This window comes from Homo sapiens, chromosome 12 (assembly GCF_000001405.40).
Source record: "Homo sapiens chromosome 12, GRCh38.p14 Primary Assembly".
In the NCBI taxonomy this organism is placed as follows: Eukaryota; Metazoa; Chordata; class Mammalia; order Primates; family Hominidae; genus Homo; species Homo sapiens.
The window spans coordinates 115,316,745-115,344,660 of NC_000012.12; the positions used below are offsets into that span (position 1 = coordinate 115,316,745).

General features: G+C 41.0%; 1 long non-coding RNA gene across 12 annotated transcripts in view, besides 2 other annotated features; it reads right to left on the minus strand.

Annotated features, from left to right (window-relative positions):
- Window positions 1-27,916, minus strand: part of LOC124903082 (uncharacterized) — an 85,010-nt gene that overhangs the window by 46,716 nt on the left and 10,378 nt on the right. For 3 of the 12 annotated variants that reach the window (XR_007063601.1, XR_007063591.1, XR_007063594.1), the window contains exon 1: window positions 4,090-4,355. This is a non-coding gene — a long non-coding RNA (uncharacterized LOC124903082). The other 9 variants (XR_007063597.1, XR_007063595.1, XR_007063596.1 and 6 more) reach the window with 7 other exon arrangements.
- Window positions 5,698-5,777: an enhancer, noted in NCBI's record as "active region_7078". NCBI's record gives its function as "activates an Ori minimal core promoter by ATAC-STARR-seq in GM12878 lymphoblastoid cells {active_cell/tissue: GM12878}" and the evidence as "EXISTENCE:reporter gene assay evidence [ECO:0000049][PMID:35858748]".
- Window positions 24,125-25,324: an enhancer, noted in NCBI's record as "P300/CBP strongly-dependent group 1 enhancer chr12:115778674-115779873 (GRCh37/hg19 assembly coordinates)". NCBI's record gives its function as "activates an origin of replication core promoter dependent on BRD2, BRD4, P300/CBP, MED14 and CDK7 cofactors, with strong dependence on P300/CBP, by STARR-seq in HCT116 cells {active_cell/tissue: HCT116}" and the evidence as "EXISTENCE:reporter gene assay evidence [ECO:0000049][PMID:35650434]".

Below are 27,916 nucleotides of genomic sequence, written 5' to 3' on the forward strand. Positions count from 1 at the left end.
GAAGGAAGGAAGTGAAGAAGAACCAGATTTTTCAAGGAGTAAAAGACTTGAATAGACATTTTCCCAAAGAAAACAAACCAATGACCAATAGCTATGAAAAGATGCTCAACATCATCAGAGAAATGCACATCAAAACCACAATGAGATCTCACCTCACACCTGTCAGGATGGCTATTGTCTTAAAAAGATAACAAGTTTTGGTGGGGATGTGGAAGAAAGAGAACTCTTGTATAATTTTGGTCAGAATGTAAATTGGTGCAACCACTATGCAAAACAGTACAGAGGTTGCTCAAAAAGTTAAAAATAGGTCATCATGGCTGGGCATAGTGGCTCACACCTGTAATTCCAGCAGTTTGGGAGGTCAAGACAGGTGGATCTCTTGAGGCCAGGAGTTTGAGTCCAGCCCAGGCAACATGATGAGACTCTGTCTCTAATAAAAATTAAAAAATTAGCTGGGTGTGGTGACACATGCCTGTAATCCCAGCTATTTGGGAGGCTGAGGCAGGAGAATCACTTGAATCCAGGAGGTAGAGGTTACAGTGAGCTGGGATGGTGCCACTGCACTCCAGCCTGGGTGACAGAGCGAGACTGTCTCAAAATAAATAAATAAATAAATAAATAAATAAATAAAAATAGATCATTATATAATCCAGAAATCCCACTTCTGGGTGTATATCCAAAGGAATTGAAATCGGAATTGCATTATTCACAATAGCTAAGACATGAGAGCAATCTAAATGTCCACTGACAGATAAACAGATAAAGAAAATTGGTATATACATATAATGAATTGTTATTCAGCCTTAAAAAGCAAGAAAATCCTGCCATTTGAAACAATGTGGATGAACTTGGAGGATATTATGGTAAGTGAAATAAGCCAGGCACAGAAGGACAAGTACTACATGAACCCACTTCTATGAAGAATCTAAAATAGTCAAACTCACAGAAGCAGAGAGCAGAGTGGTGATTGCCAAGCCTACAGGGAGGGTGAAACGGAGAGATGTTGGTCAAATGATACAAAGTTTTGATTATGCCAGATAAATAAGTCCTAGATATCCAGAGGACAACATAGTAGCTATAGTTAAGAATATTCTATTGTATACTAAAAATATGCTAGAAGGATAGATCTTACATTGTCTTCTTATCACAGTAATAATAACCATATCAAACAAAGAGGGCAGAAGGAAACTTTTGGAGGTGATTGAAATGATTATGGTGTTGATTGTGGTGATAGCTTCACAGGTGTACACTTATCTCCAAACTCATCAAGTTGTGTGCATTAAAGATGCACAGCGTTTCAATGTGAGTCATAACTCAGTGATTTGGCTTAAAAATGGACTGACAATAAAGTAAGAAAGACAGAAGTTAGATTTAAAGGGAAAATTCTGGTGCCTCAAAATTGCTGAGGTTCTTGAAATGGGAAAAGGCAATGAGCCTCCTCACTTCAAAGGACATTAGAGATATTTTTAATAACAATATCTTTAATCTCAGGATTCTATTCCCAGCATTGGTCCACCCAATCTCCTTGCTAACTGGGCAGATCCCTGCTTCTAGAAAGAAGGCTGTTAATTCTTTCTTTCTTTCTTTCTTTTTTTTTGAAACAGAGGCTTGCTCTGTCACCCAGGCTGGAGTGCAGTGGTGTGATCTCGGCTCACTGTAACCTCTGCCTCATGGGTTCAAGCGATTCTCCTAGCTCAGCCTCTGAATAGCTGGGACTACAGGTGCGTGCCACCACACCCACCTAATTTTTGTATTTTCTGTAGAGACAGATTTCACCATGTTGACTAGGCTCGTCTTGAACTCCTGACCTCAAGCGATTCACCTGCCTCAGCTTCCCAAAGTGCTGGGATTACAGGCATGAGCCACTGCGCCCAGCTGAAGAATGTTAATTTTTTTTGCTTGTTTTATTTTTATTCAAGATCAAAGTTTAAACAAATGGAGTAATGATAGTTTTTCTAGAAAAACATGAACATCATTATTTGATAATGAAAATGTCTTTACTGTTAAAGAAACACTGAACGCTTTTACACTGTTAGTGGGAGTGTAAATTAGTTCAACCATTGTGGAAGACAGTGTGGCAATTCCTCAAGGATCTAGAACCAGAAATACAATTTGACACAGCAATCCCATTACTGGGTATACCCAAAGGATTATAAATCATTCTACTATAAAGACGCATGCACATGAATGTTTATTACAGCACTGTTCACAATAGCAAAGACTTGGAACCAACCCAAATGCCCATCAATGATAGACTGGATAAAGAAAATGTGGCACATATACACCATGGAATCCTATGCAGCCATAAAGAAGGATGAGTTCATGACCTTTGCAGGGTCATGGATGAAGCCTGAAACCATCATTCTCAGCAAACTAACACAGGAGCAGAAAACCAAACACTGCATGTTCTCACTCATAAGTGGGAGTTGAACAATGAGAACGCATGGACACAGGCAGGGGAACATCACACATTGGGGCCTGTTGGGGGGTGGGGGGCTAGGGGAGGGATAGCATTAGGAGAAATACCTAATGTAGATGATGGGTTGATAGGTGCAGCACACCAACATGGCACATGTATACCTATGTAACAAACCTGCATATTCTGCACATGTATCCCAGAATTTAAAGGCTGTTAATTCTTAACACGCCTATCTCTAGAGGTCAGTCTAGAGATCTCTGACAAAATCGAAGTTTCAAATCATTAATCTCACAAATAAAATGACTCTAAAATTGTTAGAAAGGCACTGGCCATGGTAATCCTATTTAGAAACTAAGAATAAATAAATGTAACTTACAAAGTAGAGCTGAGTGTTAAGGGTAATTATAGATCTTCCAGAGTTTCCAACATATAATAGCTTCTATGACAGATTGTATAGATAAAACAATCTGTCCTAGTTAGGAAGCTAAAAAGCTTAGGCTGGAATTTACAACGCATCTTCCACATTTAAAGTTCTTGCTGACAACAGCTACAAGGCACTGCCTCCTATGTGCCCGGTACAACCCCTGCAGCATGGGAAGTGTCCGAGTAAACACCAGCTGATTGAATAAAAGACTGCTGCGACGAAGTCAGCTTAGGCACTCTGGAAGACCTGGGAGGGGCATGAGCAAAGCAGTCTAGGCCAGTGGTTCTCAAACTTTGGTTCCTGGATCAGTCATCCAGGGAAATTATTAGAAATGCAAATTCTCAGGCCCTCCACCCAGACCTACTGAAGCCGAATCTCCAAGGACGGGGCCCAGGAGTGTGTGTTTCAGCAAGCCTTCTGGGTGATTCTGATGCGCAATAAGAATTGAGAACCATTGCTATAGAACCTTGCTTCTCAAAGTGTGGTCTGTGTATCAGTGGTATCATTGTCACCTGGGAGCAAACAAGAAATGCAGAATATCAGATCTCACCTCGTACTTACTGAATCAGAATCTTCGTTTTAACAACATCTTCACTCAGAGAGTTCATTTGCAACTTAAAGCTTAAGAAGCACTGATCTTGGCCATTGGTTTTCAAACGTAGCTGCTCGTTAGAATCGCACGGACAGAAACTGGCGTGGTTATTCTGGGATGTGACCTGAACATCAGGATTTTCTAAAATTCCCCCAGATGATTCTAACATGCAGCAAAGTTTGAGAATCACAAGTGTCCATGACTTTAAAAAGGCTTTCCAGAGAAGGCAGCATCTAAGCTCAGCCCTGGCCCCCAAGTCTGGGTGTTTCCAGGAGAGAGAGAGAGAGAAACAGCCAGATTGTTTTGGGTGCTGCTACCACCACTGTCTCTACCTGTCTTCAGTCAAAGAGGGAGGCCTCCCAAATCAAGGGCTGTCAATCCACCCACATCAACAGCCTCAAATTCACTAAAATGCTTGAGGCAAGGGTTCAGAGCGAGGGCAGAGTAAGGGAGAGGTTTTATTAGATAAAGCCTGCATTCTCTGAGCTGTGCATTTATTAATTTCAAAGTAGGCTGAATGATGGGGGAGGGCTAGGGGAGCAGCGTGGGTAATAAAAGCGCTTTCAGAGAGTGCCCTCTTGCTTCTTGGAATGTCTTCCACCCCGACCCTCCCAATGGCAGTCCTAAAGGAAGGTCACCCTGGGATCATCTCACCTTTGACGAGGCTGGCCAGGGATGCTGCTGAGAATGAAATAAACTCTTCTCTCTTTTGCTTGGAGAAAAGAAATCATGGGTAGTAAAAGCCTACGACTCACATGGAGGGGTCATCAGTGGGGCCAGAGATAGAAGGCAGGGGAGTTTGGAGGAGGTGGTGGGGAAGGCAAAGGTGGGAGGAAGGAAGAAGGAGTGGCAAAAGCAATGTCAGACAACAAAGGTCCAAATGTTTCAGAGTTGGCTTCCTCGGCTCCAACACTAGAACTGTTTCTGTTGCACCCACTCCCCCAACCTCCCCCTCCTTCCTTTCCTCATATCATCTCCAATGACTAATTATTTTGACCTTCCTCAACCCGATCTGCAATATCTCAAGTCTCTGTCATAGTCGGCTTCCGGCCACCGTCGGTCAGATGACTCTAAGCACACAAGGCCAGGGTCGCCTTGCCAAATGGCAGCAAAGCATGGCCAAAAGCAGAGTCTCGAAATACCCCCAGGGCCCACTTTTTGCTCTCATTCCTTCCTTTCCCTTTCCCCTAAAATAATCTTTATCTTAATTGTGGATTATTCTCTCCCTCTTTTGGATCTCTCTTTTCTAGGCACCAGTCAAAAGAGAAGTAGGAGGCAATGATAAAGCGACAACGTAGGTTTTTAGTCACCTTACCTGAATGAGTTTGTCACATGACCACTTTTCACAAGTATTCCTTCAGAACAAATACGATGCCATTCCCTTCCCACCACATGTTCTTGGAATTCCTTTTTGAACATGGCCTTTGGAAATGTCTAAATGGGCATTTACAATTGAGGCACAAAAAACATTATTATTCATTGAGGCTTTTTCCTTTTCTTTTTTTTCTTTCTTTTTTTTTTTTTTTGGAGACAGAGTCTCGCTCTGTTGCCCAGGCTGGAGTGCAGTGGCGTGACCTCAACTCACTGCAACCTCTGCCTCCCAGGTTCAAGTGATTCTTGTGCCTGAGCCTCCTGAGTAGCTGGGACTGTAGGTGTGTGTCACCACGCCTGGCTAATTTTTTGTATTTTTAGTAGAGACAGGGTTTCCCCATGTTGCCCTGGCTGGTTTTGAACTCCCAAGCTCAGGCGATCCACCCGCCCTAGCCTCCCAAAGTGCTAGGATTTCAGGCCTGAGCCACCGTGCTCAGCCCATTTATCTATTTTTTTTTTTTGGCAAAATATCATGATTGCATTTTAGTTGTTGGACTCTAGATTAGTATAACCAAGTAAATCATCTATTTATTTTTAATGATTATTTCTCTGTGATATTTTATTCTTTCCCCAAGTTAAATCTACTCTCAAAGATTATAGATCTTGTCACCAGTAAAAAAAATTATTCCAAAAAATTAAGCAAGATTTTTTGTATTACACTCCTCTTCCCTTCTCCACTCAGAAAAGAACTTCTACAAATACTCTGAATAATGATCAAATCTTCAAGTGTCAAGACTCCGACAGGAAACTATTTCAGGGCAGAACCGATTGGTCGGGCATGACCTCTAAAATCACAAACTAAAACAAGCATTAAGGGTTTTCTTAGTCACTATTAATGAACTCAGTTCCACTTCCTCTTTTATCTTCATAATAGTATCTGGGACAATCCCCAGCTCTTAGCAACTCGAATTTTCCAGGCATCTGTCCTCCTCAGGATAGGCAACAAAAGGAACAAGCACATACTTGACTCAATATTATATTATGTGCTTTTCTTCTCTGTTTTATTTTTGCTCTTTGACTCATCTCCTCTCCTACCCTGAAAGGAAAGATCATTTAACACCAGGTTAAATTAATTCCATAAGTGTTTTCTGCATGTAAGGCCCTGTTTCACATGGTGTGTGGGAATCTCTGGCCACCTAAGATGTGCTTTCTTATGTTTTCCGCTAGCACACCTATAGGAAGAAATGGGGTGGAGATGCTGTGTTGAGAAGGATTCTGAGGTCCATACTCACTGAGAAAGTGCATTTATGGTTTTTCCCCCCCCCCCCTTATCTTTAATAGACACTCAAATATTTGCTGCCTGGATAAATGGAAAGAGAAAAGAGAGAGAGAGAAAGAAAAAGAAAGAAAGAAAGAAAGAAAGAAAGAAAGAAAGAAAGAAAGAAAGAAAGAAAGAAAGAAAGAAAGAAAGAAAGAAAGAAAAGAAAAGAAAGAAGGGAGGGAGGGAGGGAGGGAAGGAAGGAAAGAAGAAAAGGAAGGAAGGAAGAGAAAAGGAAAGAAAGAAAGAAAGGAGAGAGGGAGGAGGGAGGGAGGGAAGGAAACAAGGAAAGGAAGGAAGGAAGAGAAAAGGAAAGAAAGAAAGAAGAAAGAAAGAAAAGAAAAAAGAGAAGGGAAGAAGGAAAGAAAGAAAGAAAGGGAGGGATGGAGGAAGGAAAGAAGGAAGGAAGGAGAAAGAAAGAGAAAGTAGGAAAGAAAGAAAGAAAAAGAGAGAGGGACGGAGGGAGGGAGGAAGGACGGAAAAGAAAGAGGGGGAGGTAGGTAGGGAGGGAGGGAGGGAGGAAGGAAGGAAAAAAGAAAGAAGAAAGAAAGAGAAAGAAAGAGAAAGGAGGAAAGAAAGAAAGGAATGAAGAAGAAAGGAAGGAAGGAAAAGAAGAAAGAAAGAGGGAGGGGGGAAGGAAGGAAGGAAAGAAGGAATGAAGAAAGGAAGAAAAAGAAAGAAAGAAAGAAAAGGAAGAAAGAAAAGAAAAGATAGAGAAAGAAAAAGGGAGGGAAAGAAGGAAAGGGTAAGGAAGGAATGAAGAAAGGAAGAAGGGAGGAAGGAAGGGATAAAGCAAGGAAGGAAGATGGTGAGTGAATGAATACCTGAGCAGTGAGATCTACCCCTTAGGCAAGAGGAAATGAATCATATCACAACCATGGATTTCAAGTGAACATTTTGAGAAGTATCAATCCCAGATGTTTGCTGGAACATGCTCCCTTCCTATTTCCATCCCATTTTGAAAGTCACAGTGTAGGTAGGATCCCCATGGATATTGTTTATTTTGAAGTATATTCTACCTCATTCTGCTGAAACACACTGGCCACACAGGAAAGTCAAGGAAAGACTGAGGAATTGCTCCGGATTGGAAGGAAGCTAAAAGAAACAAGAAAACCAAATGTAACGTGTGATTCTTTGGCTACAAACACATCACTTTTTTTCTTTCTGAGATGGGGTATCCTAGTGGTGTGATCACAGCTCACTGTTGCAACCTCGACCTCCTGGGCTCAAGCAATCCTCCTTCCTCAACCTCCCATGTAGCTAGGACTACAGGTGCACACCACCACAGCTGGTTAATCTTTTTACTATGTGTGGAGATGGGTCTTGCTATGTTGCCCACGCTGGTCTTGAACTCCTAGGCTCAAGCAACCCTCCCACCTCAGCCTCCCAAAGTGTTGGAATTACAGGTGTGAGCCACCGTGCCAGCCTACAAACACATCATAGAGACAATAGGCGAAACTTGAATGACATCTGAGAACTATAGGGTAACAATGTGTCAATACTACTCTTCTGAATTTAATAGTTATATTTTTATTATAAAGGGAAATGCCCTTGATTTTAGGAAATAAATATTAAATTGTTGGGGCTAAAAAATATAAACCTTGACCTAAAATGTAAGTGTACATCTTCTCCTATTGCTTCCAATATAAAGATAGAACTTACACCAGAAAATATACTCAGAGTTTCCTAATAAACATCTTTTCCGTAAAAAAAAAAAAGTAGACATAAATATGCAGAAGAGATGAATTTAATCTACTTATATCCAGCTTGATGTGCTAAGGAGAAACTTTCCAACGCCCGTGAAATATGGTCCCAAAGGAGAGTGTACTTTTTAGAAGCCATCGAACGTTGAGGCAAAGGAATGGACTTACAATTTTACGAAGTCTTAGGTCTTAGAATATTATGAGTTGTCACATCCTGGGGCAGTCACAGAGATTTCATGGCTTTTACCCTCCAAGAGCAAGAATTCCAGGCACGTTTCAAAAATAGTGTCTTACCATGAAATACACCTGTCAAAGTTCCTTCTTACTTTGAAAGATGTCTTTTTTTAAAAAAAAACCCCAATGGAAGAAACGTCCTTAATTCACAGTTCTCAGGGTCAGATTTTTGTAAGGAAGTTTTGGTGAACAAATAACTGAACAGATGCCGGAAAACCTAAGACTTTCATTTGAGTAGAGGAGAGGGATTTATTAGACCACTAGATTAAAATTCCTGTATTTAAGACATATTTCACAAACACTTAATGGGGTTTTCCCACCCGTTAAGAGCAAACTAAGGGCACAATGTTCCATTTTAATAGGGGCAGTAACTCCATTTCATTTATAGACTAAACGGACAGGAAAAAAAAAAATACAAGGGCAGTTCTCGCCAGAGAAAACATGACCTAATACAAGGGCTCAGGCAATGTATTAGAAATAAAGGCCTGTCTGTAGCCCTGGCCATTTCTTTTCCTTTTTTCTATTTTTGGGAGGGGGTGGTGATTTGGAAGAAAAAAATTCTGTGGTTGATATCCAATGAAGTTAACACTTCTCGGCCAGGACTTCTATTACATGCAAACATCATGAATTATAATTAGAGAACAGCCTATTTACACATGAAGGTACACTGGGTCAAGTGAAAAACTCTGCCAAGAATCTCAGCTTTTGGCTGAGAAATATTGGCAATTGGCATAAAGAAAATGGTCCTGGAATGGGACAGAGCTGGGAGGAGCCAGGAGATCTAGTTTTCAATCCATGTGACATTAGCAAATGGATGTATTGACATGCAAAGATTTCCCAGTAGATTAAGTTAAAAATAGCAATGTATAAAAAGATGTAAAGTATGATTTTGTTTTTTATTAAGAAAGACAGTGAATGTCTGTGTTTTTATGTGTACCTAAAAAATCAGACTTATGCCTACTGGATTACCAAAGTGTTTATTCTTGGTAGGCAGAGTTACTAGAATATGTCCACTTGCCATATATGTCATATTTCTATGTTGTTTGAAGTTTTAAACAAATATAGGTCACATTATAATTAGAAAAGGTTATAAGAGTATTTCCAGTAAAGGAAAAGGCAGTCTCTATCTTACAGAGTTCACTTCTTCTTCTCTAGAGGAAACCTCTATGTTGAGTTCAGACACACCTGCTTTATAATCCTGGCTCTGCCATTTACCCAGCTGTTGACACCAGGAAAACCACTGAGCCTCTCTGAGTCTATCCTCTATTCTATTACGTAAGGACGTTCCTTTCTTCCTAGACTGGCAATGAGGATTATGTGAGGTAATGTTTGCACAGGGCCTGGCCTAGCGCCTGGCACTCACAAAGTGTTCAATTAAAGAAAAGAAAAAATGAGTGCCTTGTCTTTTTAACAAGTACAATGGACAAGATCTAAACTTTAGCCAGGGATGTCAAACCATGACCAAGGGGGATGCAGTGGGGTGCCTACTTGGTATGTAGCCTGCAGCTTGGCACTGCATAGACAAAAATCCATCAGAGCACGTGTTCTCTACCTAAGGCACTTACTTGCTAGGTGGGAGACTGATAACTGTGATTAGTAACATTTTTTTTTTTTTTGAGATGGAGTCTCACTCTGTCACCCAGGCTGGAATGCAGTGGCACGATCTTGGCTCACTGCAACCTTTCCCTCCTGGGTTCAAACGATTCTCCTGGCTCAGCCACCTGAGTAGCTGGGACTACCGGTGCATGCCACTAAGCTCAGGTAATTTTTCTTTGTATTTTTAGTAAAGTCGTGGTTTCACCATGATGTCCAGGTTGGTCTCAAACTCCTGACCTCAAGTGATCTGCCCCCATTGTCCTCCAAAAATGCTGGGATGACAGGTGTGAGCCACTGTTCCCAACCAGTAACATATCTTGAGCACCTACTATGTGCCAGGCACTGCTTGATTTCCCTAATGTGATAACTCATTTAATCATTGCAATCACTATTGTAGACAAACACTATTATTATTATCATCCCCCCTTTACAGGTAAAGAAATCAAAATACAAATAAATTACCTGTCTTGGCCATGGTCACCCAGCTGGTTGGGGTACAGCTGAATCTAGAACCCAGAACCCTGACTTCCGAGTCTGAACTCTTAACCCCCATGCACACCTTTGCCATGTAATTAAGGGTGAGGCCAGGGTTAGAGAGGGGAATTCAGGAAAAAGGGGCAGCTTTGTAACAGAAGCTTAGCCACCAAAACCTTGGAAAAGGCCAGGGGTGCTTAAACTTGAGTGACTACCAGAATGTCCTGGGGGGCTTACAATAACACAGGTTGCCAGGCCCTACCCCCACGGCTTCTGATGCAGCAGGTTCAGGATGGGGACCAAGGATGTAAATTTCTGAGAAGCTCCCAGGTTATGCTGCTGCTGTTAGTCCAGGTACCCCAGTTGGAGAACCACTGTTCTAAGCCCCCTGGGGTGCACGGGATTCAGACTGACTAGGAGCAAGGGTAAGGTAGCCCAGGAACTGAGACCTTCCAAATATGCGGATTATGCAAACAATAATACCAGCCATCTAGTCCATTACTAAAGGCTTCAATGACTTCAAAACGTTCATGGAAGATGTGTATTATTCACATCTCCTTATTCACTAGTCGTGGCATAGCCATGCTGATTTTTTAAAATGTTAAATCATGAGTAGCTTTAAAGAAATGTAGCAAAAACACTTGTTTATAAATGCAGCATAATTGCCCTTTGATTTTTCACCTCTGAGTGATGAAGCATTCAAAAAGTGTCCTTCAACAGTGTATTAGTCTGTTCTCATGCTGCTAATAAAGACATACCTGAGAGTGGGTAATTTATAAAGGAGAGAGGTTTAATTGACTCACAGTTTAATTGACTCCCCAGCATGGCTGGGGAGGCCTCAGGAAACTTACAATCATGGCAGAAGGGGAAGAAAACACGTCCTTCTTCACATGGAAGCAGCAAGGAGAAGAATGAGCAAAATAGGGGTCAGGGGGAAGCCCCTTATAAAACCATCAGATCTCGTGAGAACTCATTCACTATCAGGAGAACAGCATGGAGGTAACTGTCCCCATGTTTCAATTACCTCCCTCCAGGTCCCTCCCACGACACATGAGGATTATGGGAACTACAATTCAAGATGAGATTTGGGCAGGGACACAGCAAAACCATATCAAACAGCCAATCAATGAAATGAAAAGGAATTTCATTCTTTATCTGAGTCTATCAAAGGATGTTATTGAGGATGCATTTCATGGCTCACCCCATGTTACTTCCAGTGAACACTTTACCTTCCTCAATTTTCTTCCACATACTCAAGGACATTCCCCCTTTAAACTCCTCCCAAAAGGTCTCTCTTCAACCCTGGTAGAAACAAAGAAAAGAGAACATTTTCTATTTCTATACAAAAAAAGTCACTGGGATTTTGTTGGGGATAGCATTGAATCTACAAATTTACTTTGGGTAGTGTAGATATTTTAACAATATTAAGTCTTCAAATCCATGACATGAACTTCTTTCCATTTATTTGTGTCATTTTTCATTGCTTTCATCAATGTTTTGTACTTTTCACTGTACCAATGTGCCTTTACAGTTAAATTTGTTTCTAAGTATCTTATTTTTTTAATACAGTATGTCTCTCCTTTTATTTAGACCTTCTTTGATTTCTTTCATTGGCATATTGCATTTTTTAGTATATCTGTATCATTTAGTCCTGTATATGCTTTATCAGATTTGTAGCTATGCTGTTGTAAATGGTATTGTACTTTTTAATCTTTGTGTCCATGTGTTCATTGGTAGTTTGTAGAAACATAATTGTTTTTGCATGTTTATCTTTTTGATGCTGTTGTAAATAAGGTCACTTTCTTTATTTTTTGCCAATAGTTTATTTTTAGTGTATGGAAATGCAGCTGATTTTTCTTTTTTTTTTTTTTTGAGAGAGAGAGGGTCTCACTTTGTCATCCAGGCTAGAGTGCAGTGGACCAATCATGGCTTACTGTAGCTTCGACCTAGGATCAAGCAATCCTCCCACCTCAGCTTCCTGAGTAGCTGAGACTACAGTTGTGTGCCACCATGCCTGACTAATTTGTTTTTTTTTATTATTTATTTTTGTAGTGATAGAGTCTCGCTATGTTTCTCAGGCTGGTCTCAAAACCTGAACTCAAGCTATATTCCTACCTCAGCCTCCAAAAATGTTGGGTGAGCCACCATGCCTGGTGCAACTGATTTTTAAATGATGATTTTGTGTCCTGTGACTTTACTAAATTCATTTATTAGTTCTAACACTTTTTTGGTGGAGTCTTTAGATTATGCCATCTGCAAATAGAGACAATTTTACTTTTTTTCCGATCTGAATGTCTTTTTAAATATCTCATTTTTTCCCTAATTGCTCTGGCTTCTACTACCATCCTTAATAGAAGTAGCTAGAGTGAGCATCGTTGTCTTGTTCCTGATCTTAAAGGAAACACTTTCAGTTTTTCACCACTGAGTATGATGTTAGCTGTGGGCTTTTCATATACAGTCTTCAGCGTTCTGAGGTAAGTTTCTTCTACACTTAATTTGCTGAAAGTTTTTGTCGTAAAATGGTGTTGAATTCTGTCAAATGCTTTTGCTGCATCTACTAAGATGATTATATGCTTATTAACCTTCATTCTCTTAATATGGGATATTATATTCATTGCTCTGTATATGTTGAACCATCCTTGCATCCCAGGGATAAATCTCACTTTTCAGGGTGTATGATATTTTAATGTGCTGTTGAATTTGATTTGCTAGTATTTTGTTATGAATTTTTGCATCTGTGTTCATCAAGGATATTAGCCTGTAGTTTTTTTTCTTATAGTATCTTTGGCATTAGTAACAGGGTAATTCTGGCCTCATAAAATATGTTTGGAAGGGTTTCTTCCTCTTCAATTTTTTGGAAGAGCTTGAAATATATTGGCATCAATTCTTCTTTAAATGTTTGCTAGAATTCACCAGTGAAGCCATCTGGTGCTAGGCTTTTCTTGGTTGAGAAGTTTCAATCTAGGCAATGATTTCTCGGATATGACATCAAAAGCATACACAACAAAAGCAAAAAGTTACTAGTGGGACTACATCAAATTGAAAGCTTCTGCAGCACAAGGGAAATAATCAACAGAGTGAAAAAACAACCTATGGGATGGGAGAAAATATTTGCAAACTGTTTATCTGATAGGGGTTAATACACAAAATATACAAGAACCTCTTACAACTCAATGGCAAAAATACAAATAACCTAATTTTAAAATGGGAAAAGTATTTGAATGAACATTTCTCCAATGATTTACAAATGGCCAAGTACAAAAGGAATTCAAAATGTTCACAGAAGATGTGTATTACAAAAAAAACTAGGCATGGATTTCAAAATTTTTTACATGGAAATAAACTTATACTAACTTGTTACAACATGTCTCAACAGGATCTAGTTGGAGGCACTAGGAAGGATAAGACATCAGTTTGAGAATAGTCCTTATCAAAGCAACATGAATTCTACTAAAATTGAAGCAAAGACAAACATCAAATGTATGGTAAAGCTTGGGTAGAAGAATGGCAAAATCATCGATGTTTTATGAAAAATTTATGGGGATGATGCCCCAAAGACATCAGCTGTTTGCAAATGGATAACTCACTATAAGAAAGGACGAGACACTGTTGATGATGAAGCCCACGGTGGCAGACCATCCACAGTGATTTGTAAGGAAAAAATTAATCTTGTGTGTGACCTAATTGAAAAGGATCAATGACTAACAGCAGAGACAATAGCCAACATCACAGACATCTCAGTTGGCTCAGTTTATGCAATTTCAACTGAAAAATTAAAGTTGAGCAAACTTTCTACTCAATGGCACCAACACCATCAGCTGCATCCAGACCTGCTGCAGACAAGAGCAGAGCTTTCAATGAAAATTTTGGACAAGTAGAATTAAGGTTCTGAAACATTTCTTTGAAGAATTGTAACAGGAGATGAAACATGGCTTTACTATTATAATCCTGAAGACAAAGAACAATCAAAGCAATAGCAACCAAGAGGTGGAAATGGTCCAGTAAAAGCAAAAGCAGAGCAGTCAAGAGCAAGGTCATGGCAACAGTTTTCTGGGATGCTCAAGGCATTTGCTTGTTAACTTTCTGGAGGGCCTAAGAATTATAATATCTGCTTATTATGAGAATGTTAGTTAAAGCTTTAGCAGAGAAACACCTGGGAAACCATCACCAGAAAGTCCTTCTCCACTTCAACAACACTCCTGTTCATTCCTCTCATCAAACAAGTGCACTTTTGCAAGAGTTTGAATGGAAAATTATTAGGCATCCACCTTCCAGTCCATATTTGGTTTCTTCTGACTTCTTTTGGCTTCCTAATCTTAAAAAGTATTTAAATGGTACCCATTTTTCTTCAGTTAATAACATAAAAAATACTGGCTTAACATGGTTAAATCCCCAAAACCCTTGGTTCTTTAGTGATGGACTAAATGGCTGGTATTACTGCTTGCAAAAGTGTCTTGAAGTTGATGATTCTTATGTTGAGAAAAATAAAGTTTGCATTTTTTCTTTTTATCTTTTAATATAAAAGATAGAGTTTTTCTTCATGAATTTTTGAAGTCCTCTCATATATGAGAAGGTGCTCGACATCACTAACCATCAGGGAAACACAAATCAAAACCACAATGAAATATCACGTCATACCTATTAGAATGGCTATTTTCAAAGGGAAAATAGATGTGCTGGCAAGGATGTAGAAGAAAAAGAACTCTTGTACGCTATTGGTGGGAATGTAAATTGGTATGGCCATTTTAGGAAACAAAATAGAAGTTCCTCCAATAATTAAAAATAGAGCTACCATATGATCCAGCAATTCCACTCCAGAGTTTATAGCTAAAGGAATTGAAATGAGGATTTTGAAGAGATAATCTACACTTCAAGTAGCACACACAGGTAGCCAAGTCATGGAAGCAACCTCAACAAAATATTATCCAGGCTTAAAAAAAACAAGGAAATCTTCCCATTTACATACAATATGAATCAAACTGGTAGACGTTATGCTAAGTGATACAAACCAGTCACAGAAGGATAAATACTGCATTATCCCACTTCTATGAGAAATCTAAAATAGCCAAACTCATAAAAGCAGAGAACAGCATGGTGGTTGCCAAGGCTGGGGAAAGAGGGACATGAGGAGTTGTTTTCTCAATGGGTATAAAGTTTCTGTTATGCAATATGGATAAGTTCTCAAGATCTTCTGTATAACATAGTGCCTGTAGTTAATACAATAAAGTGTACTTAAAAATTTGTTAAAAGGGTGGATCTCATGTTAAGTGTTCTTAACACACACACACAAACACACACACACACACACACACAAAGGGACAAAAGAAAACTTTGGAAGGTGATGGATCTGTTTATTACCTTGATTGGGATCCACATTATTTGGGTATTATTGCCACTAAAAATATTACTAGCAAGGAAGCCAGGTGGTACTTTTTTTCCATTTTTCTCAGTTGATTTTGCCAGATGATTGTGTTCCAGTTACTTCTTCCTGCAAGAATAAGGATAGTATACACTAAGTTTATTTTGTTATTGTTGCTGTAGTCTTTTCAGATGAGATGAAAAAGTCATGAACTCTATCAAATCCCAGATTAAAAACAGCAACAACTAAGAAGTCTCTATAGAAGTTTAAGTGATGTGAATTCTAAAAATTAAAGAGAATTTTTAAGTGCAATTGCTAGAATCTCAATTCATTAAAATAAATGTAGTTTGAGATTTGGTATCATGTTAAAAATTTGGAAGCTGCTGTCATGTTGTGACTAATTTAATATTCTTGGAAAATAACATTTTTGTGGAGGGAGAGAAGTGCTGATTTTCTCATTGACTTTGGCGGGCGGAGGAATCCAGAAAGTAGGATATGGGTTTCCCATTCTTGTTCCCCCAAAATGCCTATATTACCTCCAAAACTCAGTGAGAAAATGACCCACTTATTTGGACCTCAGATCTCCCATCTACTCTTCAAGCAGTGTGACCTTTTTTAATATGGTATATGTTGGAGTTTAAATATAAGGCTTCTCTTGAGAAAAGATTTCTGCTGCTAAAAGTAGGTTGATCGACTCAATGGTAAAAACACATTTCCCCCTTGTGGGACTCAATAAAACTATTTTCAAGTTTAATGGAAAAAATAGGCTATAAAATTGTTTTATTTTTCCTGAATACTTCTTTCTGATGTAAAAAAACAGGGTTATTTGTCACTGATCTAAACCATGGTTTTGTATCTTTCAGGTTTATAGGAAAATAAGAAGCTCTCTCTCTCTACTCCCACCTCAATGTTACCACCCCCAAGCAAAACCACAGTCCATTTTCCCTGTTGAGGGCCCCATGTATGATGTTAGAAAAAGGATCTGGCTGTCTTCCCTTATGTCTGTTTCAAAGGTTATGGACATAGCTCTGGTTTCTCTATTTCCCTGAACATATCATTATTTAAACACCATGCATGGATTCATGTAAACCAGTGGCTTTTAGCCCTCATTTTATATCCAAAGCCCCTGGGAACTTTAAAAAAATCTAGATTCCCAGACCTCATGCCAGATCTACTGAAAGAGAATCTCCAGGGGTATGTTCTGGGCATCTTTAAGAAAGAGCAATTTAAGGATAGTTTTCTCATTCTTCCTCCTGAAATCAGAGTATAGTCAGTATCATGGAGGGAAGCTGGCTTCACCATCTGAGCACAAAAGGCTGTTCATCACCCACTTAGACACCAACAGGTGGGCATGTCAGGAGGCCCAGGAGCTCCTGAACATGCCCTTTCTCTTCATGCACAGGCCCTTTCAGGGTCAAAATACTCTACTGAGCACCATCTTGGTTCTTTCCTCCATACCAGACACTGCCTAAGACAGGTGACACTCCTGAGGAGAAAGGTTATGAACTCCTAAATTAGCATCTTCCAAATCTACTTATCCTGTGCAATGCCCAGTGGAAAATAGAGCTCTGTGGTTAAGTTCAGGATATGCTACTAGCACCGAACTGCTTTTAAGAGCCACTATGCTGGTGCACGTCTGTGGTTCCAGCTACTCTGGTGGCTGAGGCTGGAGGATTCTTGAGCCTAGAAGGTTCAGACTGCAGTGAGCCATGATCATGCCACTGCACTGCAACCTGGGTGACACAGTGAGACTCTGCCTTGGGAAAAAAAAAAAAAAAGAAACAACCAAGAGCCACTATGCACTTGGACTCTAAAAAATTCTGCAATCAAGAAATCTGTTTACTGAGCATTCCCCACCTGTATTCGACTACGGTACCCTTTTCTATTAATATCCCTATCAGTATCTGAGGAACACACTTTGCCACATGTTGATCCCGACTATGAGCTGCTGGATATAAGGTCCAGTGTCCCCTGATGCCTTACTCCTCAAAGCAACTGGAGAAGGAGAGGAAGCAAGGCAGAGTCCAGGAACAGGAAAGACATAGTTTGGCCGAGGGGATTTAGCAGCCTGATAGTAATCAGAGAACTTGAGTGTAATTGCTTGTGTTGTTTCTGAAAGCATCTCAGCCAGGCTGGTGGTCCAACGTCCAAATTAGCTAATGGGGACAGGAGGGCTTTACATGTTTAGAAATGAGGGCTTTTTGGATCAGCACTCAAAGATACTCCAATTTTTTGGAAAATTGCCATTTTCCTCTTATATCATGATTCTCAAACTTTAGCTTGCATCGTCTCCCCTGGAGGCTTATGAAAACACAGATTGTCAGGTTCCACTCTGGGAGTGGCTGAGGCAGCAGGTCTGGAGTGGGGTCAGAGAATTTGCATTTCTAACAAGTTCCCAGGTGATGCTGATCTGTTGGTCCGGGGACCACACTGAGGATGACTGCTTTAGGAAGTAAAGAAGTGCAACAGAAGAAGGGAAGGGGATACAAGTGATAGACAAAGAGGAAACCGAATAAAAAGAAGAAAGAAAATATAAAAGAGGAGTGGGAGAGAAGACAGGGAGATAGTGAGAATGACAGGAGAACAAGGGAAAGGGGAGAGAAACAGCTGGGAAGAGAGAGGAAAGCTAGGAAAAGAGGACCACAATAGAAGAATAATGAGTAAAAGAGAAGAAAAAGGGAGAAAAAGAAAGAAGGAGACTGAGCTGCTTGCAGACTTGCATAAGGGTTCCCAAGGTGTCAACGTTGGTATCTGGGCAAAGGACCAGTGGTAGTGAAGCTTCCTGCATCTGTGGGGACACCTACTGTATACACAGCAACAACTTCCGCATCCATATTGCTTGTGGATATGCCCAGGTTTCCAGTTCCCTGGCCTCAGCTTGGTTACACCAGCTGCTTTGGAAGCAAACCTGGCTCCAGTTAAAGGAGAAAGCCATGAGAAAGGAGGACAGAGTTCTCATGTCCTTATTTCCCCATCCTGACCTCCTCCCCTCCTGGGTCTTTTCAGATCCTGGATTCCCTTCTCAACTTCCCCTCTAACCCAGAAGGACAGCCAACTGAAGCTGGAGCCAACTCTCCCTCCCCAGGGCTTCTGCTCCCAACTGCTGGCCTGCACACGTCCTCCAGCCACCCCAAGACTCAACAAGCTCTACCTTTGGGGCTGTGCTGGTCTCCACCCCCAATGTCAGACAAACAAATGGGATCTTAGGGGTCCAAGGAAGCCCCACTGGCGGTTGCTGATAAAATTCACATGTTGTCCCTTGGGCAGTCTTCAGGGCTAGGATGCGTGCATCATGAGAACCCAAAGCCACCTCCACGAGAGGAAATCCTAGTGGGTGGAGAGGAGCCAGGGCTTGGCTATGCCACCTCATTCAAAAGAGGTGCACAATGGCCCCTGGAGATGGACTCTGTTGTAGCAAGAGGTGGATAAACAGGCCGAGGAATTGTGGGCTCAGCCTGGGAATCAGACTGAGATGGCAGTACGTCTCTTCCCTGGAGGTGCGAGAAAACCTGGCTATAAATCAAGGAAATTAAATAGAGTGCAGGGCTTAAGGTCATTGCTCAAGCTCCTAATCCAGATCCCAGAGTTGCTGAAAGGATCACCACGCCCAGCAGCCCAGAAGGAGGGAAGCTCTGTTTCACAGGCTTTCCGCTCCCCAGAGCACAGTGAGGAGGCTGGACGTGGTGGGAACTTCAAGTGCGTAAGCTGCTTCGCCATCCCAGGGCAGCGGAATGTGAGAGCTGGAAAGGGGCTCACAGACCATCTCCTCCTAATGTTCCCCTTTTAAAGACAGAGAAACCAAGACCAGATGAAGAAAAGAGGAATTTGTACAAAGGCACAGAGGCATTTGTTATCAACAAAATCCACAGGCAAATAAAATCGCAGGTGGCAACTGGAAACTGTGCCAGGGAGCAATTTACGGGTGATTTGCTTTGAGAATCATGAGGTCCTGCAGAACAGTAAGTGGGGATAGAGCAAAGTTCCAGGAGGCAGGACCCATCCTGACAATAAACAAGCAAACAGCAAACAGGTGCTTTTGCCTATCATACAGCTATGCAAGCACATGCATAAGTTTTTAAAATTTTTCAGCTTTTATTTTAGACTCAGGGGGTATATCTGCAGATTTGTGACATGGATATCATGCACGATGCTGGAGTTTGGAATGCAAATGATCCCATCACCCAGGTAGTGAGCGTAGTACCCAATAGGTGGGTTTTCAGCCATTTTCCTTCCCTCCCCCGTTTAGTGGTCTCCAGTGACTGTTGTTCTGATCTTTATGTCTATGTGCATTCAATGTTTAGCTCCCATTTATAAGTGAGAACATGAGGCATTTGGTTTTCAGTTCTTGTGCTGGTTTACTTAGAGTAATGGTTTCCAGCTCCATCCATGTTGCTGCAAAGGGCATGACTTTGTTCTTTTGTATGGCACGCATAACTTTTTGTAAAATTTTGTCAAACATTTAGTATAAGTGGACAAGCAACTTGGAAAGAATGAAAATCTTACTTACCATGCAGATTAAAGAATGACTGTGGGTTTCTTTAGAGCATTTATGATGTGTCAGACATGGGGCCAAGCCCTTTACTTTAGTCTTCTCACTTAATCTCCACAAATGCCGGGAGGAACTATTTTTGTTGCTGCCATTTTTCCAATAAGGAGAGTGAGGCACAGAGCAATAATTGCTCAAGATTGAAATCTAGCGTCTCTGTGTTTTTTACTTCACTCTCCAATATGAGCATTTTTCAGTAGCAGAAATTATTTTTCTATGGCATCACTTTTAAGGGTTCACCATGATTTCATGGTAGAGTGGACACAGTATCTTTGAGCACACAGGGTCTGTGCTCATCTCTGTGGCAGAGTTCTGCAAACTCTTTTTCTTAAAAGGGAAGAGAATGCATATTCTCCGTTGTGCTGACCCTGGGGTCCTGTTGCAAGTACTCAGCTCTGCTGCTGTGGCACATGCAAGTAGCCATAGACAGTACAGAACCCAACAAAATTTCATTTGCAAAAACAGGAGGTGAGCTGAATTTGGCGAGGGGGCTGTAGTTTGCTGCCTGCACCTTGCTATAAGGTCTCACACCTAGTAAATACTCAATGGATACAGTCATTGTTATTGATGTTATCTATCAAAATAGCTTTAACAATATATGATAATAATATACATACATCTCTGAGCCAACTTCTCCAGTACAGACACAAAATCGTGGAGAACAGTGATTCTTCAACTTTACCGTGCATGAGAATCCATGGAACTTCTTAACAATGCGGAAGTGGCCTCATCTTCAAAGAACCTGATGCAGATAATCTGAGTTAGAGCCCAAGAACTGGCAAAAAAAAAAAAAAAAAAAAAAAAAAAAAAAAAAAAAGAAGAAGAATAATCTGCTATTTAAAATTAGAGCCCAAGAATTAATTGGCAAAAAAAAAAAAGAAGAAGAAGAAGAAGAAAAAAGAAGAAGAATCTGCTCTTTAAAATTAGAGCCCAAGAATTGGCAAAAAAAAAAAAAAAAAAAAAAGAAGAATCTGTTATTTAAAAGAGCATTCCCGGGTGGCCCTGATGATGGAGAACTGGGGTGAGCATGCTTACAAAAAACACTAAGCGTTTGCTTAGATGAATCATGCACTGAAAAGCAATGAAAGACGTCATGGGAAAGGCTGGCAGGAAACTCATGAGTAGGGAGGAGCCAAGTCATGTCCCTGGCAGGACAGTCCTTCAGCCACTTTAGGGTGTCCCTGGAAGGGACAGTGACTAGATAGGCATGGTGGAGTGTTGAGAACAACAGATCTCATTGGGAAAGCGTCTACTATGTGCCAGGTGGTTCCCTTGGGTTAACTCAATTCTTTCAACAACTCTTACATCTGTCCCCTCCCCATCAGAATGCAGCAGGGAGGAGCAGAGCTTGCCTACCAATGGGCGGGATGCTGGTGTCAGGGTTTGTGTTCTTGCCACTTCTTCGCAGAACCCGCATGAAGATCCGGGAGTTTGGGGCATGGAAAAACTGGGACACAGAGGGTGAACTGGGCTCAGAGTGGAGAAGGGACCCGTGGGTGTTCAAGGCCTCAAGACCCAAATAGGTCTGGAGGAAAAGAGCCTGGCTTTCCAGCCAGCTCTTGATCATGTTGACTGGCTGATTTCTCAAGAGTCCCAAGGGGAAGTTCTCAGATTTCCAATTCTAAGCAAGGGAATAATGGTTCTTAGTATCAAGGTCACATGACCCACTCTGCAGCGCACCTGTATCGGGATCCAGAGCCCGGTGCCTCAGTTCTTGCTGTGGTTTGGCAAAGAGATTCCTGCTACTTCAATTTTCACTGAATGGCCACCCCTGAGCATGCAGATGAGGCTTGATAAATTATAGCTGAATTCCCCTGGTGCCCAAATCTTTTTTTTCCTCATTTACAGTACTTTAGCACTGACAGTAATAAAAGCAAAAATTGTCACAGGTAGACACTTTCTCCATTGAAAATGATTTAATCTTCCCAGCATTCCTGTGGTAATCATGTGAGAATTAATGCATATTTCACGGAAATTTCACATCTATCAAACGTTATACCCATTTTAGAGATGTGGAAATCAAGGCTCAGGAAGACTATATGATGTTTTTCCTCAAATTGTAAAGTTATAAGTAGAGGAGGCAGGATGTTAATGATACATTTAACCACCGTGACATGAGCCTTTTTAGTTTCAAAACACTCACTCATGTATGATTTCGTTTGCACCTTACTTACAGCAACCTGTGGTTTGTTCAATGGTAAAGTCCTGGTTCTCAAAAGTGATTTCCAGACCAGCAGCATCCACAGCGCTTGAACTTGTTCAAAATGCAAATTTATCGGGCTCACTGCTAGACCCAATGACTCAGAAATTTGCAGAAAGAGAGATTCAGAAATCTGCATTTTAACAAGCCCTCCAGGCTATTGTGATACAAACTCACAGTTGAGAATGAGAGTGTAAGGAATTCTTTTTATAGATGAGGGAACAAACGGACAGAGAGGTCAAGCAGCCTGTCCAAGGTTGCAGAGGCAGTGGTTGCGGAGCTGGGCCTTAACCCCATTGTTTATGGTTTCTAATGAGAGACACCTGGGAGAAGCATTAAAATGCAGTTTCCCTTGTCCTCTCTAGACCGACTGACTCAAGATCTCCAGGGCTAGGGCCCCAACTTTGTCTTTCAGCAAACTTCCAGGTGAGTCTAGAGTTTTAGAATTCTTCCATAGTTCCTGTTGGACTATACTCGTGTAGTTATTTTCTCTTCCCACTGTCCAGTTTCCTTCTTTTCTTTCTCCCACATCCCTTCATTTTTTCCCCTTCTCCTATACTTTGGGCCTCTCTCCAAAACTAGCTAGTTGTTCATAACTAGTTTGTTGCAGAGAAACTAGAAGAAACCCAGGGTACCATGTCTTATACCTCTCCGTTTTTAAGCTGGTTAATAAAAAGTAATTAAAAGTCATCCACAAATATGTTTGTTGTTAGAATTTCAAACAGTGTAGAATTTTAGAGATTTTTAGAGAGTAAAAGCTGTTTTTCTTCTGATCCTTCCCAAAACCAGGCCACCCCCAATTACTGTTAATAGTTTAGTGTGTAACGTTCCAGACACCTACATTTTTTATTCGAATAAATATATGCAGATACACACTCAGAGGATAATTCAAAACAGAAATGGAACTACACTATTCCTATTATACTGTGACGTGGCTCACTTATAGATATTTTATACATTCCTTTGTGTGATTTTGTTTGTTTTTTATTTATTTATCTTTTTTTAATTTTACTTTAAGTTCTGGGATACATGTGCAGAACATGCAAGTTTGTTACATAGGTATACACGTGCCATGGTGGTTTGCTGCACCTATCAACCCGTCATCTAGGTTTTTAAGTCCCGCATGCATTAGGTATTTGTCCTAATGCTCTCCCTCCCCTTGCCCCCCAACCCCTGACAGGCCCCCGTGTGTGATGTTCCCTTCCCTGTGTCCAGGTGTTCTCATTGTTTAACTCCCACTTATGAGTGAGAACATGCAGTGTTTGCTTTCTTGTTCCTGTATTAGTTTGCTGAGAACGATGGCTTCCCTGCAAAGGACATGAACCCATTCTTTGTTATGGCTGCATAATATTCCACGGTGTATATGTGCCACATTTTCTTTATCCAGTCTATCATTAATAGGCATTTGGGTTGATTCCAAGTCTTTGCTATTGTGAACAGTGGCTCAATAAACATATGTGTGCATGTGTCTTTATAGTAGAATGATTTATAATTTGGGTATATAATACAAATAAATATAGCATATTCTTGCTAATGGTTATAGAGTATACCACTTTTGAAAGTATATGAATGAGTTGAATTAGTCACGAATAGATGGTCATTTTTGTAGCTTCCTATTTTTCACTATTGTAAACAGCATGACTCTAAATATGTGCTTGTACATATGCTTTTGTTTGTTTGTTTTAAGACAGGGTCTCACTCACTCTATCGTCCAGGTTGGAGTGCAGTGGTACAACCTTGGCTCACTGTAACCTCTGCCTCCTCGGTTCAAGTGATTCTCCTGCCTCAGCCTCCAGAATAGCTGACATTACAGGTGTATGCCACCACACCTGGATAATTTTTGTATTTTTAGTAAAGATGGGGTTTCACCATGTCGGCCAGGCTGGTCTCAAACCCCTGACCCCATGTGATACCCCCACTTCGGCCTCCCGAAGTGCTGGTATTACAGGCATGTGCCACCATACCCGGCCCATATGCTTCTTTGAATATGTGTAGTCTGAAAGGTGAATTGCTTTGGAGAGAAAATACTGGGATTCAACCTTCTGTCCACTTGGCAATTTTCTTCCATTCTTTTCCAGTCAGAGATTTCTATGCCTAGGAGGGTAATTGACACAGAATGACAGCTACTATTTTCACTGCTGCTTTTCCTTTTTACCTGCTTCTGGGGAGTAAGGGAGAGTTGAAAACTAAAATGGATGTACTCTCTTGCCAAAGTGGGAAGATTGTCATGAAGGCCAGCTCAAGCTTCAAGACAAAAGCTACTAATAGTGCTCTTGACATCATTCTTAGAGAGAAAGAAGATGCGCTTACTGATTGAAAAACTTGGCAGTTTTTAGCAACAAGGAAAGTTGGTGAATTTTCCCAGGTTAAGTGTGAAACATGACAGAGCTTGGGTGAGCTGCTCTGACTCCTTATTCATTGTTGCTATTTTCTTTTTTTTTTTTCTTTTTTCAAATTATACTTTAAGTTCTGGGATACACGTGCAGAACATGCAGGTTTGTTACATAGGTATACATGTGCCTTGGTGGTTTGCTGAACTCACATCTGAACCGGTCATCTACTCATTGTTGCTATTTTCTATGAAGCCCCAACCCCCTGTGATTTCAGTATAAACACCATACAGCCACCCACACCCCACCGGCTCCCTATGACTCAGTCACATGCTCATCCCCGAGTCATTAGAGAATGGAAATCATGAGCAAGATCTGGCTCACACCCAGGGAGTGACAAAGCATGTCCAGAAAATCAGGGATTCCCCTTCTGCCAAGGAGGCGCGAGTGGAGACAGCCAATTCTCCATGGTCAGGAGGGGGATGTTTCAAAGCTCCAGGCCTCTGAGGTTGGCAGAACTGCATGTTGTTTTGGGAAACTGTGCATTGCAGCAATTGTGAGAGAACAGAACTGTCTTCGAGGCAAGAGAAATAACAGAGCTGAAATAGACCATGCAATAATGGTGAACTGTAATCTCAGGTTTCATTGGTGCCATGATCTTAATTATAAATAGTATTTGAAACCCATTTTTCTCCCTCTTTAATGATAACAACTAAGTTTGTTAAGTAGTTACTCTGTTTTAGGCACTGTCCTAAGGGAATTAGAATACTATAAGTATTTTGGACAACAATTTGATCCTCAGGACAACCCTTTTGATAGGATTATTGTGATCTTCACTGAAAATTGAAGAAACTGAGTCTCAGAGGCTAGACAAGGACTTTGTTACACAGTTAAGAGAGTGTGAATCCCAGGCTTTGTGAAAGATTAAAATAAGCACAAAATAAATGCATGTTACAAATCATTACTGAAAAGGAGCAAATGCATTTAACCTCAAAGTTAGCTCGCAGTTTCTGAACGTCAAGAATCTGGAAGCAGCTTAACTGCATGGTTCTGCTTCAGAGTCTCTCATGACATGGCAGTCAAGTAGTCAGATGGGCTGTCGTCTCATTTGAAGGCTTGACTGGGGGAAATTCATTTCAATGCTTATTCATGTGGCTGTTGGCAGGAAGTCTCAGATTCTCACTATGTAGGTCTCTCTTCAGGGCTGCTCCCAAAATAGCTCCCCCCACCTGCCCCCCACCCCGCCCCCCACCATGATCAGTTGAAAGACAGAGAGGAGAGAAGAGAGCAGGGAGGAGGGAGAAGGGAGGAAGAAAAAAGGAGAGCAGGAAAGGGGGGGATGGGGGAGAGATAATATACCTGCAATTTCTTTTGTTATCTAATCTCAGAGGTGAAACACCATCACTTCCGCTGTATGCCATTGGTGAGACCAACCCTGGTATAATGTGGGAGGGAACTACACAAGGATAGGACTATTAGAAACTGGTTACCATAAGAATACATCTCTCCGCTAGAAAATCTTTGTGGTCTTCACGTGAAACAACACACCAAGGACCTAGTATCCTTTATTTTTTTCTCTCCATCCATCACTCCGACCAATGTCAAATATATACAATTGGAGGGAACATTTCTTGCCAAAGAATGAGGAGCTTCTATGTTGATTCTGCATGGGAATATCACCCGATAAACTTTGTTCCTGTCAACTCAGTCTCCTTAACAAATAGGCAGGTAGCATTGTCTTCCCTTTTACCACCTTGAATCAAGGATGCTGGTTATTCTAACTCCAATTCCATCTCGAAGGTTAATTCTCTACCTTGCTCTGCCCTCTTTGTGATGCACACAGACTATGAAACTCATGTTCCCTTACCCCGGCTTTCAGTTGGGTTTGACCAATGATAAACACCAGCAGAAGACTGAGGGTGGCAAGAGAGAGAGCTTGGGTATCAATGCCTCTACTCCCTCTCTGCTTCTGTATTATATATCTGAAAGGGTTTGTGGCTCCCCATGTCTACATCACTCACTGGGTGACCTCACCTCCATGGCTCCAGCTTTCACTGGACTCCAAGGGTCCTTTTCCTCCCACTGCCCCTTGTGTTCCAGGGTTGGTGACAACTTCCTGCTGTTAGAAGTCCCTGATGGTGCTTCATCATCCATTTCTGGTTCTCCTAACTCAGCTCACAATTCTGTAAATAGCCCTTATGGAAATGTCTCTCAGTTAAACAGCTGAACGAATTTTTTTTTTTTCTGCTGGGATCCTGGCTCCATAGACAATGAAATGGGCTCTGACTCCCACACCTTTGTTTCTTCACACTTCAAGACGATCCTTTAAACATGTATAAGTGTACAGAAGGGCATAAGGCTCACTTTCGTAAACATGGGATTTGAGAAATCCCTCGAGACATATTATGGGGTATGAGGATTCACATGACCTAGGATTCACATGGCCCTGACCACCACATCAACCTCGCAGAGCCTTTTTGAATCATCAAAAGTTTTATGCATTTTAAATGTGGAATGCATGAACGTGGGCTTTAAGAGGATTTCCAGTGGATGATTACCTAGGGCACTGAAATGTGAGGAGCTTGTTGGCAGGAAGTCTCTTCCTCATCCCCCAAATCCCGCCTCCCTACCAAAACCAATCACAGTTTGCAATTTGAGTTATGTAACACTGTGTATGGCCTCCTCTTTATTATAATTTCCTCATAGGAATCTTTATTGTTTTTTCTTTCTGAGGAAAGAAGGTAGAGGAAACCTAAGTTTAAGAACATCCCTTCCTTAGACGAATAAAATGTAGTAGTCTTCTATTACTGATCGTGTCTAAGAGAAAAGAAAAATAGCAAAGCTGGCAATGATTTTGCAAATCACTCCCTCTTACATTCATTTATCCATTCACTTATACCTTCCGAGATCTGTACCTTGTGTTAGGGAGGTTCTGAGGGTGCACAAAGAAATCCGATGGGGTATCTTCCCTCAAGGAGCCCACAGTTAAGAGAAATTAAGCAGACAAGAGCAAAACAGTCAAAGTAAAGAAGAGCTTTTTGTCATTGTATTTGTTTGTTTGTTTTTTTAAATCTAGACTTTCTCTCTTTTCCTCTACCACAGAAGGTCAAACTGAGGGCGCATTCTTCCACGTGCTGTGTTCCATAAGAGTAGATTAAATAATTAGGATGATTTTGTTCATATTTAAGAAGGCATTTCTCAGGCAGGCTTTATGGAGGAGAGGTGGAGAATGAGGGCACAAAAACCCAGGAGAAAACCATTCTAATTAAACCATACCTCCAAGCTAAAGGAAATCTCTATTTTTTTAATTTTTTTTATTAAATAAGCAAACAAAATCCTCTCGCTTCCCCTCTTTGATGAATCCTTGCTTCACGGCGGTTCCTGAAGTTACAACAGTACATGGGACCATT